The sequence below is a fragment of the Homo sapiens genome, chromosome 8 (assembly GCF_000001405.40).
Source record: "Homo sapiens chromosome 8, GRCh38.p14 Primary Assembly".
In the NCBI taxonomy this organism is placed as follows: Eukaryota; Metazoa; Chordata; class Mammalia; order Primates; family Hominidae; genus Homo; species Homo sapiens.
This window is the reverse complement of record NC_000008.11, coordinates 92,652,403-92,667,778: the sequence shown is the minus strand read 5'-3', so window position 1 is coordinate 92,667,778 and position 15,376 is coordinate 92,652,403. Positions and strand designations below refer to the sequence as shown.

At 36.6% G+C, this 15,376-nt stretch overlaps 1 long non-coding RNA gene across 1 annotated transcript in view; it reads left to right on the top strand.

Annotated features, from left to right (window-relative positions):
• The first annotated feature begins 12,284 nt into the window (after nt 1–12,284).
• LOC102724710 (uncharacterized) overlaps nt 12,285–15,376 on the top strand; it is a 90,052-nt gene continuing 86,960 nt past the window's right edge. Inside the window, exons 1-2 of the long non-coding RNA NR_125827.1 lie at nt 12,285–12,336; nt 13,618–13,837. This is a non-coding gene — a long non-coding RNA (uncharacterized LOC102724710). The remainder of the gene's footprint in view (nt 12,337–13,617; nt 13,838–15,376) is intronic.

Sequence of the window (15,376 nt, the reverse complement as noted above, 5' to 3'; positions counted from 1 at the left end):
CAACACTTTGGGAGGCCAAGGTGTGTGGATCATTTGATTCCAGGAGTTTGAGACTAGCCTGGGCAATAGGATAAAACTCCATCTGTACTAAAAATATAAAAAATTAGCTGGTCATGTTGGTGCACACCTGTAGTCCCAGCTACTCAGGAGGCTGAGGTAGGAGGATCCCCTGAGTCAGGGAAGTTGAGCCTGCAGTGAGCTAAAATCTTGCCCCGGACCAATTCTAGAAATCCATTCTACTGAAATGCAACAGTATAAAATAAGCTTGTCTATTACGGTAGAATCTCAAGACACTGGAAATGACCTTGGCACCGTTAAAAGAGAATGATTGAATAAATTACATATCTACACTATGGAATGGAATATTTCATAGGTATTTACAAAGTCTAGAGAGATATTCAATATGTGATATGAACTTTAAGAAACTGAGTGTTATTAATACTTGTAATGTGATCCTATTTTTGCCTAGAAAGCTGTGTATGTGTGCGTATTTGTATTAGTGTGTCTATGATCTTACATGCACTGAATAAAATATAGAAAAGTAAGTACCAAGTTGTCCACACAATTTATACTATTGGTTGAGAGGTTATCACAACTGTATTGATGTGATAATCCATAAATGGGTAAGCATGACTTATGTTTGTATTTTAAAAATGAAACACTTGGGGTGGCTGGCAAGATGGCTGAATAGGAACAGCTGTGGTCTGCAGCTCCCAGCAAGATCAACGCAGAAGGCGGGTGATTTCTGCATTTCCAACTGAGGTACTCAGCTCATCTCATTGGGACTGGTTAGACAGTGGGTTCAGCCCACGGAGGGCGAGCCAAAGCAGGGTACCATCTCAGGTCAGTTAGAATGGCAATCATTAAAAAGTCAGGAAACAACAGATGCTGGAGAGGATGTGGAGAAATAGGAACGCTTTAACACTGTTGGAGAGTGTAAATTAGTTCGACCATTGTGGAAGACAGTGTGGAGATTCCTTAAGGGTCTAGAACCAGAAATACCATTTGACTCAGCAATTTCATTACTGGGTATATGCTCAAAGGATTATAAATCATTCTACTATAAAGACACATGCACATGCATGTTTATTGCAGCACTGTTCACAATAGCAAAGAGTTGGAGCCAACCCAAATGCCCAATGATGATAGACTGGATAAAGAAAATGTGGCACATGTACACCATGGAATACTATGCAGCCATAAAAAAGGATGAGTTCAGGTCCTTTGCAGGGACACAGATGAAGCTGGAAACCATAATTCTCAGCAAACTAACATAGGAACAGAAAACCAAACACCACATGTTCTCACTCATAGGTGGAAGTTGAACAATGAGAACATGCAGACACAGGGAGGGGGAACGTCACACACCAGGGCCTGTTGGATGTTGGGGTCTAGGGAAGGGATAGCATTAGGAGAAATGCCGAATGTAGATGACGGGCTGATGGGAGCGGCAAACCACCATGGCACTTGTATACCTATGTAACAAACCTGCAGGTTCTGCACATGTATTCCAGAACTTAAAGTATAATAAATAAATAAATAAATAAATAAATAAATAAAACACTCAGGGCCGGGCATGGTGGCTTGCCTGTAATGCCAGCACTTTGGGATCACTTGAGACCAGGAGTTCAAGACCAGCTTGGCCAACATGGCAAAATCTGGTCTCTATAAAAAATACAAAAACTAGCCAGGCGTGCTGTAATCTCAGCTATTCTGGTGGCTGAGGCTCAAGAATCACTTGAACCCAGGAGGCGAAGGTTACAGTGAGCTGAGATTGTGCCACTGCACTCTAGCCTGGGCGACAGAGCAAGACCCTGTCTATATTTAAAAAACAAAACAAAACAAAACAAAACAAAACACCTCATGCAGACTTGCAACATACCAAGGAATTACATGAGAAGGCTTATGACGAAATAAAATGTATATTATGGAAAGAGATAATCATGGACCCATTAAAGCTCTTCCATCTCTTGGACCCAGGATGTGTTACTTTGTTCCGTTTACAAAGATCTCTCTTTTGCTCTCTTACCATATAATAAAATCCTAGCAGTGTTGACTCATGTTAAAGAGCACATGTTTGCTTTCCTTCTGACCACTGTCCTTTGTTAACACTTAAATCAAAAGTTCTTTCTCAAAAGAGCTGCGATACCATTTTTCAAGGGCGGAACACAGCTGCTTTATAGGAATGGTCCTGTATGCTACTGATAGCTTGATATTTGTTAAACGCAATCAAGCTAACCCTAAGATGCAGAAAAATAAGGCCATTCTCCTATTCATTTATGACTTAAGGAATCTAAGCCTTCTCCATGTAACAAGTATTTCATTTTAAAATTCTTAATTGGGACCAAAAAAAAAAAAAAACCACTTAGAGACATTGAAAACGATAAGCTGCTTTTGGGCATTAAAACAATTCCTCATGATTTCCCTCTCCATCATTTTCACAGTGGACTTGTCACTTTTATGAAATGCCAGGACGACTCAGATTGGCTGACATGGTTGGCATCTCATTGGAAGGTGTGATTTAAAGTAGTTTGATATAAACTAAGAGAATGTTACTAAGAGATTGAGATACCTGGAGCTATAGAGCTGGATAATTTTTTTAAAAATCTTAATTTTAAAATTTTCTAAATATAAAATTAAGGCATGGTTTCAAGGCAGGTTTCTTTAACAAAAGACAGGTAGTTTATTGCAATTGCAAACTGTGAAACTGGAAGCTTAATATTTATTCCTCATTTTCTAAACGTATATTATACTAAACACTTAAGCTCAGGAACAGGCCCTTTGTCCCAGTGTATTAATTCTTCATCACAATGTTTTGCACATAGAAGGTGTTCTAAATATTTGTTTAGTGAATAACAGAATTTGCTTATACAATTCTATGAAGCTTTTTATGACTCAGACATGGTATTTTTATATTCAACTCAATTAATATAGCTGCAGTATCAATGACAGAAATAAGAAAGTCTTGAAACTAAATCGTTTTGATGCCAACAGTTTTACACACACACACATATAAAACTTTGCACATAAATAAAAACCTGTTAAAAAATTAAATAATGCAATACCTTTTATTTTTAACTAGCACTTTTAGCTTCTGAAACAGGATAAGTAATGAAAAAATTTTGAGAGAAACAAAAGTCAAATTGAAGAAATATGATACTGTAGCTTTTTAAAACTTTCTGTAAAGCAATATATTGAGGAAAGGATTGAATTAGAATAATATTGATTGCTTCATTTAAAAAATTATTTGTTTTATTACAAGTGGTCATAGCATAAGATTTTTAAAAATTTTGACTTTTCTTTTAGACATAGGGGGTACATATGCAGGTTTGTTACATGCGTATGTTGCACCCAGTTATGCTTATTATGATAAGCATCATGCATAATACCTGAAAGATGGTTTTTCAGCCCGTGTTCCCCCTCCCTCCCCTCTGAAGTGGTCCACAGTGTCTGTTGTTCCCATGTTTATGTCTATGCGTGCTCAATGTTCACTCCCCACTTATAAATGAGAACATGCAGTATTAGTTTTTTCTGTTTCTTTATTAGTTCACTTAGAATTATAGCCTCTAGCTCCATCCGCGTTGCTGGAAGGGACATAATTTTATCCTTTTTTTATGGCTATGTAGTATTCTATGGTGCTTATATATCACATTTTGTTTGTCCAATCGACTATTGATGGGCACCTAGGTTAATTCCATATCTTTGCTGTTGTGAACAGCATGGTGATGAACATACAAGTGCATGTGCATTTTTGGTATAATGATGTATTTTCCTTTGGGTATATACCCAGTAATGGGGTGGCTGGATCAAATAGTAGCCCTGTTTAGAGTCCTTTGAAATATCTCCACACCATTTTCCACAGGGGCTGAACTAATTTACATTCCCACCAACAGTGCATGAGTGTTCCCTTTTCTCCACAACCTTGCTGGCATCTGTTGGTTTTTGACTTTTTTTTTCTTTTGTTTTTTTTAATTATACTTTAAGTTCTAGGGTACATGTGCAAAGTGTGCAGGCTTGTTACATATGTATACATGTGCCATGTTGGTGTGCTGCACCCATTAACTCGTCATTTACATTAGATATATATCCTAATGCTTTCCCTCCCGACTCCGTCCTCCTCACAACAGGCCCCAGTGTGTGATTTTCCCCTTCCTGTGTCCAAGTGTTCTCACTGTTCAATTCCCACCTATGAGTGAGAACATGCAGTGTTTAGTTTTTTGTTCTTGTGTTAGTTTGCTGAGAATGATGGTTTCCAGCATCATCCATGTCCCTACAAAGGACATGAACTCATCATTTTTTAAGGCTGCGTAGTATTCCATGGTGTATATGTGCCACATTTTCTTAATCCAGTCTATCATCGATGGACATTTGGGTCAGTTCCAAGTCTTTGCTTTTGGGAATAGTGCCGCAATAAACATACGTGTGCATGTGCCTTTATAGTAGCATGATTTATAATGCTTTGGGTATATACCCAGTAATGGGATTGCTGGGTCAAATGGTATTTCTAGTTCTACATCCTTGAGGAATCACTACACTGTCTTCCACAATGGTTGAACTAGTTTACAGTCCCACCAACAGTGTAAAAGTGTTCCTATTTCTCCACATCCTCTCCAGCACCTGTTGTTTCCTGACTTTTTAATGATTGCCATTCTAACTGTTGTGAGATGGTATCTCATTGTGGTTTTGATTTGCATTTCTCTGATAGCCAGTGATGGTGAGCATTTTTTCATGTGTCTGTTGGCTGCATAAATGTCTTCTTTTGAAAAGTGTCTGTTCATATCCTTCACTCACTTGTTGATGGGGTTGTTTTTTTCTTGTAAATTTGTTTAAATTCTTTGTAGATTCTGGATATTAGCCCTTTGCCAGATGAGTAGATTGCAAAAATTTTCTCCCATTCTGTAGGTTGCCTGTTCACTCTGATGGTAGTTTCTTTTGCTGTGCAGAAGCTCTTTAGTTTAGTTAGATCCCATTTGTCAATTTTGTCTTTTGTTGCCATTGCTTTTGGTGTTTTAGTCATGAAGTCCTTGCCCATGCCTATGTCCTGAATGGTATTGCCTAGGTTTTCTTCTAGGGTTTTTATGGTTTTAGGTCTAACATTTAAGTCTTCAATCCATCTTGAATTAATTTTTGTATAAGGTGTAAGGAAGGGATCCAGTTTCAGCTTTCTACATATGGCTAGCCAGTTTTCCCAGCACCATTTATTAAATAGGGAATCCTTTCCCCATTTCTTGTTTTTGTCAGGGTCAAAGATCAGATGCTTGTAGATATGTGCTATTATTTCTGAGGGCTCTGTTCTGTTCCATTGGTCTATATCTCTGTTTTGGTACCAGTACCATGCTGTTTTGGTTACTGTAGCCTTATAGTAAAGTTTGAAGTCGGATACAGTAATGTTGCTGGCTTTGTTCTTTTTACTAAGGATTTTTCCAGCAGCTTAGAATAAAATTGTTTTGGCTATTCAGGTTACTTTTTGGTTCTGTATGAATTTTAGAATACTTTTTTTCTTATTCTGTGAAAAATGATGTTGGTAGTTTGATAGGAATAGCACTGGATCTGTACATTGTTTTGAGCAATATGGCCATTTTAAAGATATTGATTCCTCCAACCCATGAGCATGGAATGTTTTTCCCTTTATTTGTGCCATCTCTGATTTCTTTCAGCAGTATTTTGTAGTTTTCCTTGTAGAGATCTTTCACCTCCTTGGTTAACTTTATTCATAAGTATTTCATTTTCCTGTGGCTATGGTAAATAGGATGTGCTCTTGATTTGACTGTCAACTTGGACATTATTGGCATATTTGTGTACATTGATTTTGTATTCTGAAACCTTACTAAAATCATTTATCTGTTCTAGTAGCCTTTTGGCAGAGTTTCTAGGATTTTCTAGGTGTTGAATCATATCATCAGTAATGAGAGATAGCTTGACTTCTTCTTTTCCTATTTGGATGCCTTTTATTTCTTTCTCTTGCCTGGTTGCTCCGGCTAGGATTTCCTAGATTAACTTTTTTAATTCCAAATTTATGAAGTATTAGAAGGCACTCTCAGAAATTAGCTATTTGTCTTTTTCTTCTTCGTCTGTTTTTCTCTTATAACCCCTAATTTTGTTTCTCTTTTCACTGTGTGTATAATAATAAACAATTTTATTCTAAGCTGCTGGAAACATCTTTTTGGCTCTTCTCTCTGACTCTCACATGAGGAGCTGCCATTTTTTGTCAGACACATTGGACACCAGTACTCAGAATGGTGAGTGAATCCGGATTTTGACAGCACTTATTCATGTCTGCAATTCAAAATCCATAACGTCTTTCATCCTTAGCAGTAAAGTTGGGAGCAGAATGGTCTTTCTCTTTTTCAGTCAGGCTGCATTGCTGATATGAATCTAGAACCTCTCTTGTCTTCCTTGCTTTGACATTTGATTTCTCTTGGCAGAATGAATGAAACTTTCATTTTTTTCCCCAAGAAATTTGTCAAAGTCCCTGAAAGTATCCCGAAAACATCTCTCCCACCAAAAACATGGCAACAGAAAACGAACCTGATCAGTTAATGGTAAATGAATCAGAAACATACGGATTAAATTCCCCTTAAAACACACCAGGGTTTAAAAATTAAGCAGAAAATTACTGAGTAAAATATTTTTTTTTGCCAAATCCCAAATGTTTGAAAAATAGTTCAAGATGTTTGTTGAACCTGAAATGGGTCTGAATTACCCACCCATATTTAATTCAGGCAAAAATAATTCCTACCAGATGAATGCTCTAGTCAGTAGACTTGGTAAGAAAAAAAAAATATTAGCAATGTAGAAGATACTCTTTTTAACATGTAGTAGGTCAAACTGGAAAAAAATTACCTTTGTGAAAGGCTTTCTAGGAAGATGTGATGACTCCATTCCTGACTTTTCAGGCCACCCAGCTCTCACCCCAAATGATGTTTTGGTACCCTATGAGTCACCCCTCCTCTATACCTTCCTATGCCTGTCAGCTTCACTATTTATTTTGATAATAATATGGCCAAGTAATACTGTGGAATGGTGGGAATGACCATGTCAAGATCTTGTTAACTGGAAGAAAAATCTCTTCCTGGGGTAATTTTGGCCATTAGTGATATTAAGGATTCCTATTTAATTTCAGCAATATCTGGCCTTATAAATACTGGTTCCATTAATTTTGACAAAGGATTTATCTCTTCCTAACAGATGGGTCCAACACTAGATAGCTAAGAAATAAGTATGTTTGCTGGAAATTTAAAATTGTTAACAGAAAGGTTGATGTGAACTGTATACAAATAACATGATTTTCCCAAAATAAGTACTTCCTTCTGGCATAGAAGTTTGATGAAGTAAAATAAATAGAGCAAATGAAAAAATGTCTGAGAGGCAAATAAAGGAGAGAGAGGACTCTTAAGTACCTTCTGTCAAAGCTATAGATTGGGGGCCAGTTTAGTTGCTATTGCACACACTTTAATGGGAGGAAACTGGAATTTCATAATGGGAAGGCATTTTAAAAGTTATCCAGGCTACAGTAGTTTTCTCATTTTCAAATTTCCAGATATTCCACTTAGTAACTTTAGAAAGTTATATAATAATAAGCACTATATATTACTTTCTATTGCTGCCATACCAAATTACCACAATCTTAGTAGTTGAAAGCAACACATATTTATTTTATTGTAGTTAGGCAGGTGTAAGTCCAACCCAGGTCTGGCTGTGCTAAAATCAAGGTATCAGCAAATCTGCATTCCTTCAGGAGGCTCTCCGGGACGCTGTGTGTCCTTGCCTTCTCCAGCTTCTAGAGGCTGCTCACATTCCTTGGCTGGTGTCCTCTTCCTCAATATTCAGAGCCAGCAGTGCCTCACCACTCTGACCTGGCTTCTGCCATCACGTCTCTCTCTCTGACTCTCTTGTGCTTCTGTCTTCCACTTATAAGGATTCTTCTGATTAATTCGGCCCACTCAGATAATCCAGGATAATCTCTCTATTATAAGGTCAGCCACTTAGCAACCTGAAGTTCATCTGCAACCTTAATACCTTAATCCCTTTTTGCCATGTAACATAATGTATTCACAGCTTCTAGGGATTAGGACTTGGACATTCTTCCGAAGGGAGGGGGCTGGTGGGCATTATTTTGCCCACTAAACGCTATTATCTCATTTTTAAATGGAAGTGGAAAGTTGCATAGGAGGGAGGGATTGGACTACTGCCTTTATGCAGAACTTTTTCTTTCTTCTATATTTTTATGGGAGTGGAATGACACAATAATAATCATCCATTACTAGTAATTCTACTTAATGATTTCCAAAACTAGAAATGTGTTTTATCTTCTACTCAGAGTCCAAATATTAATTTACTTTTAGGCCTGGCCAGGCCAGTGCATGGAGAGTGCAAGAATCAATCAATTTTAAATTAGTGAGTGGCTACTATGCACCTACAAGTGGAGTCCTGACTGAGATCATTCATTTGTGCTATGTTTGGGGCTTTTGGAAACCAAACCCCAGTAGTGTACACAAAAATGCAACTAACTACATTATAACTTAGTCAGAGTCAATATCTCATAGAGGTCCTTGGAGTTTTCTGAATATAAATTAAAAAGTTTTTTTGACAATCGGTGTTACTGAAATACAATATAACATAAACTGTTAGATAAAAGACGGAAAAGCCACTGGCCCATATAAGAATGTCATCAAAACTCAGCATTATAATAAACCCTAGTCTTATAACTCAGAAATATAATACTTGTAGGAAAAAACAATGCTTAATTATTTTTTGGAGAAACAAGTAGTACTAAAGATAAATGAAATATAGCATAATTTTGCCACTATATTCAATACAACTAGACTTATGCAATTTTTCAATTAAGTTTCAGACACTGGCCATAACAAGTATACCTTTGACTTTCTCACATTTACTAATATCATTTAATTTTCTTTCTATTTTCTCATCTTCTTCATTCTTCATTTATCATGAGATTTTTTTAGCTCTGTGACCTGCTCATTGATCACTTATCTTTTTTCACAGAAATAATAAATAAAAATATATTTATATATAATAAATAAGCAATAAATAAAAGGAATAACTTAATGCATGAGAAAATTGATTTAGAGTCTCAAAAAATACTTGAAAAGGACTAAAAGGTAAAGATAAATTAGATATAAATTTTTAGCTAAACAGAATTTTTCAAAAGTTCTCTTTGAATCCATGCCATGTGAGTATACATTTGTGCTTTCCAAAATGGGAACATCTAGTTGGTCAGAGAGAGAAAGAAACATCAACATGCTTTTAAGTTTTTATAGTAGGAGGTATGACCCAGTTATTCACCTCTCTTGAGAGCCCTTTCACATTACAAGTGTTTACATGCTGGACAGTCAAAATAAACTCTGAATTGTAAAGGTCATCTTATATGAGAAACTTATAAAAGCAATTTTATTTGTAAAGGTCATCTTATAAGAGAAAATTATAAAAGTGATTTTATTTATGAAAATAATGTTTGTTATTATTAGCAATAAGAGTGTCTATTAATTTATTAAGACAAAATTACTAGCTCCTGTACTAAGCCCATTATATGCATTATCTAATTCATCTCTTACATAGTACTAGGGAGGTGTCATTATGTTCACTTTACAGTGAAGGTTCAAAGTTGTTACCTAGCTTGCAACAAGATCTCACAATTGATTCCAAACACCATACTCTTCTGCTGGTTTTTAACGCTAACCCTAACTATATTAAAATCAGCATGATGTCTTTTTATATGCAATATTGTACCAAATTAACAAACTCTTCTTGCTGGGCTTCAACAAGACCCAAGGGAGTGTTGCATCTTACTCTGTTCTATTGGAAAAAAAGGACCTGAAGTCTTTACATATTAGATGAATACAATTCATCTAATTCGTTTTTTTTCTTTAAGTGAAGCACAGTTCTACTGAAATCATTATCTTAGTACTGAGCACTGACTTTAAGATTATTTCTGGGAAAGCAGCAAAGATAATTTTGGATCACTTACTGAGGAAAAGAGAAGATGGAGTTAAAATTTAACACTGAGGACATAAACAAATAAAATGACCTTATCCACTATCTACATTTGATGTAACGAAAGCCCAATAATTAGTTTCAAAATTCACTGGACTTGGTTACCAAAATAGTGTGAGCTTTTAATCCCCCACCAGTTCTTTAAATCCTATAGTGTCCTAGAATTCCTAAGGACTAATTTCTCCTGAGGAATGGCTTGGGTATTTTAGCCTCAAAGAGTGCTGTTCTAATCAATTTGACTTGTTCTTAAATGTACATACAGGAAAATATAAGGAATAAATGAAACCCAAAACCTTAGAAAAGTTGAAATCATTTTTCAAATATTAGGTAGTGTTTCCGTCATCAATTTCTTCCCAATAATTTAATCTGGATAGATTTTCAGTGGAGTTATAAAATTTTCATAGTGACATTTTCTGCTCATCCTAATATCTCTCTATCTCACACCTATAAAACTATTTTGGTGAGTGAGCGTCTTAGTTCATCTAGGCTGCTATAACAAAATACCGTAGACTAGGTGGCATACAAACAACAGAAATTCATTTCTCACAGCTCCAGAGGCTAGGATGTCTGAGGTCAAGGTGTGGGCCTGTTTCCCTATTTATAGATGGGACCTTCTCCCTGTGCTCTCATATGTTGTAAGGTGTAAGGCAGCTCTCTGGGGACTCTTCCATAAGGGCATTAATACCATTCATGACAGTTCTACCCTCATGACCTAATCACCTCCCAAATGCCTCACCCCCTTATAGCATTGCAGTGATTCGACATCAACAGATGAATTTTGTTTTTGTTGTTATGATTACAGCTTTATGGTTTGTTTTTTAAGGTATATCATTTAAGCATTTGAGTCAAGTTCAAATAATAACCATGTCATACTTCCATATTTTTGTTTCACAGAGTCTCTCATTTGATCTTCAAGGAATCTCACAGTACAGTAAAGGCCTCCTGCTCCTTTCATGCCACAGCTCTCGCTGAGTGGTGTTATTAACAAGCAAACTTTCAGGAGCTGAATGCCCTTCTAATGCAGTTATGCTGCTTGCTGGTAACTTCTAGTGACTCTCTTCAGCCAGAATCCTCCCTGAGTTGCTGGCTCGTGTATGCAGTTTTCTTCTGTCATTTCTACCTGGAAATCCATAGGTGCCTAAAACTCCACATGTTTGAGCCCTCATCACCTTCCCCATCACACCAGCTTTGTTTTCCTTATTCTTGGGGGCGGTCTTGGTGTGTCCTCTAACCTGTATCCTTGATTCCGTTCTATTTTTGCAAATTTAATGTCCCAATACTCCCTAGCTCTTCTCCAACCTCTTTCCCTCAGCCCATTGCCAGGAGACTCCTAATGGTCTCCTTTAAATCCACCCTTTGTAGAGTAATCCACATAAATGATTTCAAATATAAATATGAGCATAGCATCTTCCAGATGGTTCATTGTTTTCTTCAGGATTAAGTCCAAGCTCCTTAATGAGGGCTGTAAGACTCTCTATGAGCCATCCTGTACCCTTCCAGCACTTTTTTTTCTCCTAAAGTTAGCCAAAGTTGATCAACGTTGTCTTGTTTCATGTCTTGCCACTTGTTGAACTCTGAAAATATCAATTGCTTGATCTCCTTAAAAGGGGCACCGTTCCCTAATGTTTTTTTCCCCCTTGAACTGGCTCAATTCCCTGGTGTAAGAGAAGACTTCGAGTCTTAATTCATGTGCTGATGCTTATTGGAAGCTTTCCCTAGTGCCCCCCGCTTTTTTTGTTTTTTTTTTTTTTTTTTCTTTTTGAGACGGAGTCTCGCTATGTTGCCAGGCTGGAGTGCAGTGGCACGATCTTGGCTCACTGCAACTGCCGTCTTCCAGGTTCAAGCGATTCCCCTGTCTCAGCCTCCCGAGTAGCTGGGACTACAGGCATGCGCCACCACGCCAGCTAATTTTTGTATTTTTAGTAGATACGGGGTTTCACTGTGTTGGTCAGGCTGGTCTCGAACTTCTGGCCTCAAGATCCGCCTGCCTCAGCCTCCCAAAGTACTGGGATTACAGGCATGAGCCACCACGCCCGGCCCCTAAGCCCCTTTTTAATCCACACCCTCCTGAGATGAATTTCTCTCCTCTATGTTCCCATAAACTTATATGTTTTCATTACAAATGAACACAAGGTCATACCATTTATGACGTTTCAATTATGTGTCTGCCTCTGTGTTCCTACCCTGTGGAGCCTGAGCATTTCTTAAGAAGAATACCTAGAAACATCTGGGGTCCTTCTATTTCATTGTCTTACAATTATTAGGCTTTGTGTAAACGCTCGCAGATTGAATGACGAAATAAAAGAAGAAACTACAGCACAGGTATTTCAATCTATTTTCTTTTCTTTTCTTTCCTTTCTTTTTTTTCTTTTTTGCTACACCATGCTGTCTCTAACACTGATCCTATCTACTTCAAAACCTAAATAAGTACTGCAATTTTGGTAGGATAGAAATCACTAGTTTGAAATGTTACATTTTCATAGTTTGATACCATACACAATGAGTAGAATTTTAAATGAAAATTGATTGATCTGGTAAAATGTTCATATTCTGCCCTCTATTTTCACAGTTCTGGGTCCAAAATCATTATAATAAAGTTTCTACTTTAGCATTCATCAAAACTATAAAAGAAATGTTGCCATTCATAAATGTATTAGTGCAACAGGACCCAATGCTGCTTTCAAGGACTATTTTCTTGTACAGAGAATTTTATAGTCAGGCAATCATCTTGTTAAACATTTCCTATAAAATTTTAAAAATCATTACCTGGGAGTCTATCACTGTGGCATTAATCACACCTCTACAATTAAGCTTATTTCAACCCTTTCACTGTAATCCTTTTTCTTTAATCAAGGGTTTATTATTGGACTGTTAATGTGAGAGTTGAAATTAAAAAAAAAATGTCTCAGCCCAGGAATGAATCCTAATAGTAGCGGTTATAGAAAAATGAGAAATTCTAATTTTTTTATGAGATTTATGTTAGGATGTGGGTTTAGTGCAACACCCTCCATCTCCACCTTTTTTTCTGTAGAAGGATTCACCTGACTGAAGGGAGACTGGAGCTTTTCCTCCTGTCTTTAAGGCTATCCTTTATCTGCTGCAGTTGGGTTTTCCTTGGTACGAGCACAAAAGCGCAATTATTTTATTAAGCTGGAGGGAGCAAATACAGTTGACTCGGGGTTATTTTTTGTCTTTTCTACATCACTAAATAGAAGTGAAGTTTTGACGTTTTTAAGGAAAAAAGATCAGAATGTAGTTTTATTTTACCAAATGAATCAACTGGATTTTATATCTTTCAAGAGTTCTAATAAAAGAGGAGTTTTAAATTCAAGGACAACATGTATCTTAATAGCAAGCTAGTCAAATTTTGACCTTAAAATGCACGAATTTCATATAAAACTTTATAATTTTAAAGTGCACTCATACACATGACTGCATTTGCTATACATAACAATCCTATGAATAGTTAGAGTCATCCTAAACCTTCTGTTTCCTGAATCCCTCTTCTCCCCCTCTCTACTACTATCATCTCCTTTCGTGTCTCGGGCATTTTTCCCCGGTTAATATCTTTCTGTCACCACATATCATCTCTTGCCTCTTCAGTCAATTTTCTCCATGACAGCCTGAGAGATGTAGCTGGTGCTGCCACTTTTCCTTCATTTTTCCCTGCCTTGAATATGGTGGTGATGCCTGGAGCTTCAGCAGCCATCTTATGGCCATGAAATGGCAAGCATGAGAATGAAAGAAAATGCACTCATCATGAAAGGAGGAAGAGCAGAAGAAATCTGGGTCACTGGTGATATCAATGGATAGCTGAAGCAGTGTGGGTAATTACTTATCTCTAAAATTTCTGTTATATAAGAAAATTTCAACCCACATTTTAAAGCCATGTTACTTATCTATGACTTGAAATCAGAGGTATTCCTAACAAATATATAACTTACAAGGCTTTCCATAATTCTTCCACCTTCCAACAGCACTGGTGTTCTTTGAGTTCCTAGGATGTTCTTTCCTACCTTGGTGACTCTCCTATGACACCATCCCAATCCCCTCATTCCACGCACTTCATCTGGTTGACTCCTACCCAATCTTCAGATCTCAGTTAAAATGTGTCTTTCTCCAAGAGACTTCCTCTGATGCCTAGAGGAGCTTTTCTTTTCCAGTTGCATACTCTTATAACATACAACAGTTGTCCTTGTTGGTACATATTATATTGTTCATACGTACAATTGTTGGTACATATTATATTGTTACCACTTATTCATTCATATAAGTAATTAGTAATGTTGTATTTTTCAAGAGACTGTAAGATTTTTTAGGGCAGAAACTGTGTTGCTCATTACTATCTGCCCGATTTCTAGCAAACTGTATGGCACCAAGCATGTATTCAATAACTTTAAAGCAGGAAGGAAGGATTTAAAGAAAAAGAGAAAGAGAAAGAGAAAGAAAGAAAGATCTTTCTTTCTCTTTCTTTTTTTTCTGAAAACTAAAACCCCAAATTTGAAGGTGAACTTGAGATTTCTTTTGATATTGTAATTTCTATCTCATTTGTAGAGAAGAAATAGCCAAAAATTAGTGGTCCATGTTTTTGAAATCTAATGTGAAAGCAGCCTAGTGCACTTGTTGCAAAAGTGTTAAAAAAAACATATTTCTTCATTATTTTGGTTTTTGGTTTTCTTTTACTTCATTTAATTTGCCTTTGTTTTAAAAAGTGAGTTCATGCCTTCTGCTGCAGATCGGTGTTTGGTAATCAATGTAGTGTTGTCAAAGAGCCAGGAATGGACAGAGTGAACAGTCTTGACACTGGGTTTCTGAACATTGGGCTTTATGGCTTGATAAAGTTTGAATAGATTGCCAGAAATTCATGCATAGGCTAGAAGGGCCAATGAAGCTCTCCGGAGTTATATATACATCTTTTTTATGTATGTGTGTTTTTCTAGGGAGAGATCCAAGGGCTTTAATAAGATTTTTAATGGGGTTTCAGTTTTACAAGAGGTTAAGAATTACTGGGTCAGATTACAGGTTATAGTGATGATACTGGAAATCAGAAGTCACATCCTTTTAAAAAAGATTAACTTGTGTTTACTATATGTATGTTTTGGGGAGTTGTACTTGCAGTATAAATAAATCCATATAATAACCAGCGGTGTTTTACAGTTTCTAAATAGATTATTTGATTAATTTATCAGTCAATTTCTTAACCTACTTCATTGCAATAGATGCCAGGCACTGTGCTAAACTTATTACATGCATTATATCATTTAATTCTTGTAGCAAATCTGCAAACCTACCATTATCATCCCTCCTTTCAGGTTAGTAAATACAGTCTCTGTAAGGTTTTCAGTAACATGTCAAAGTTTGA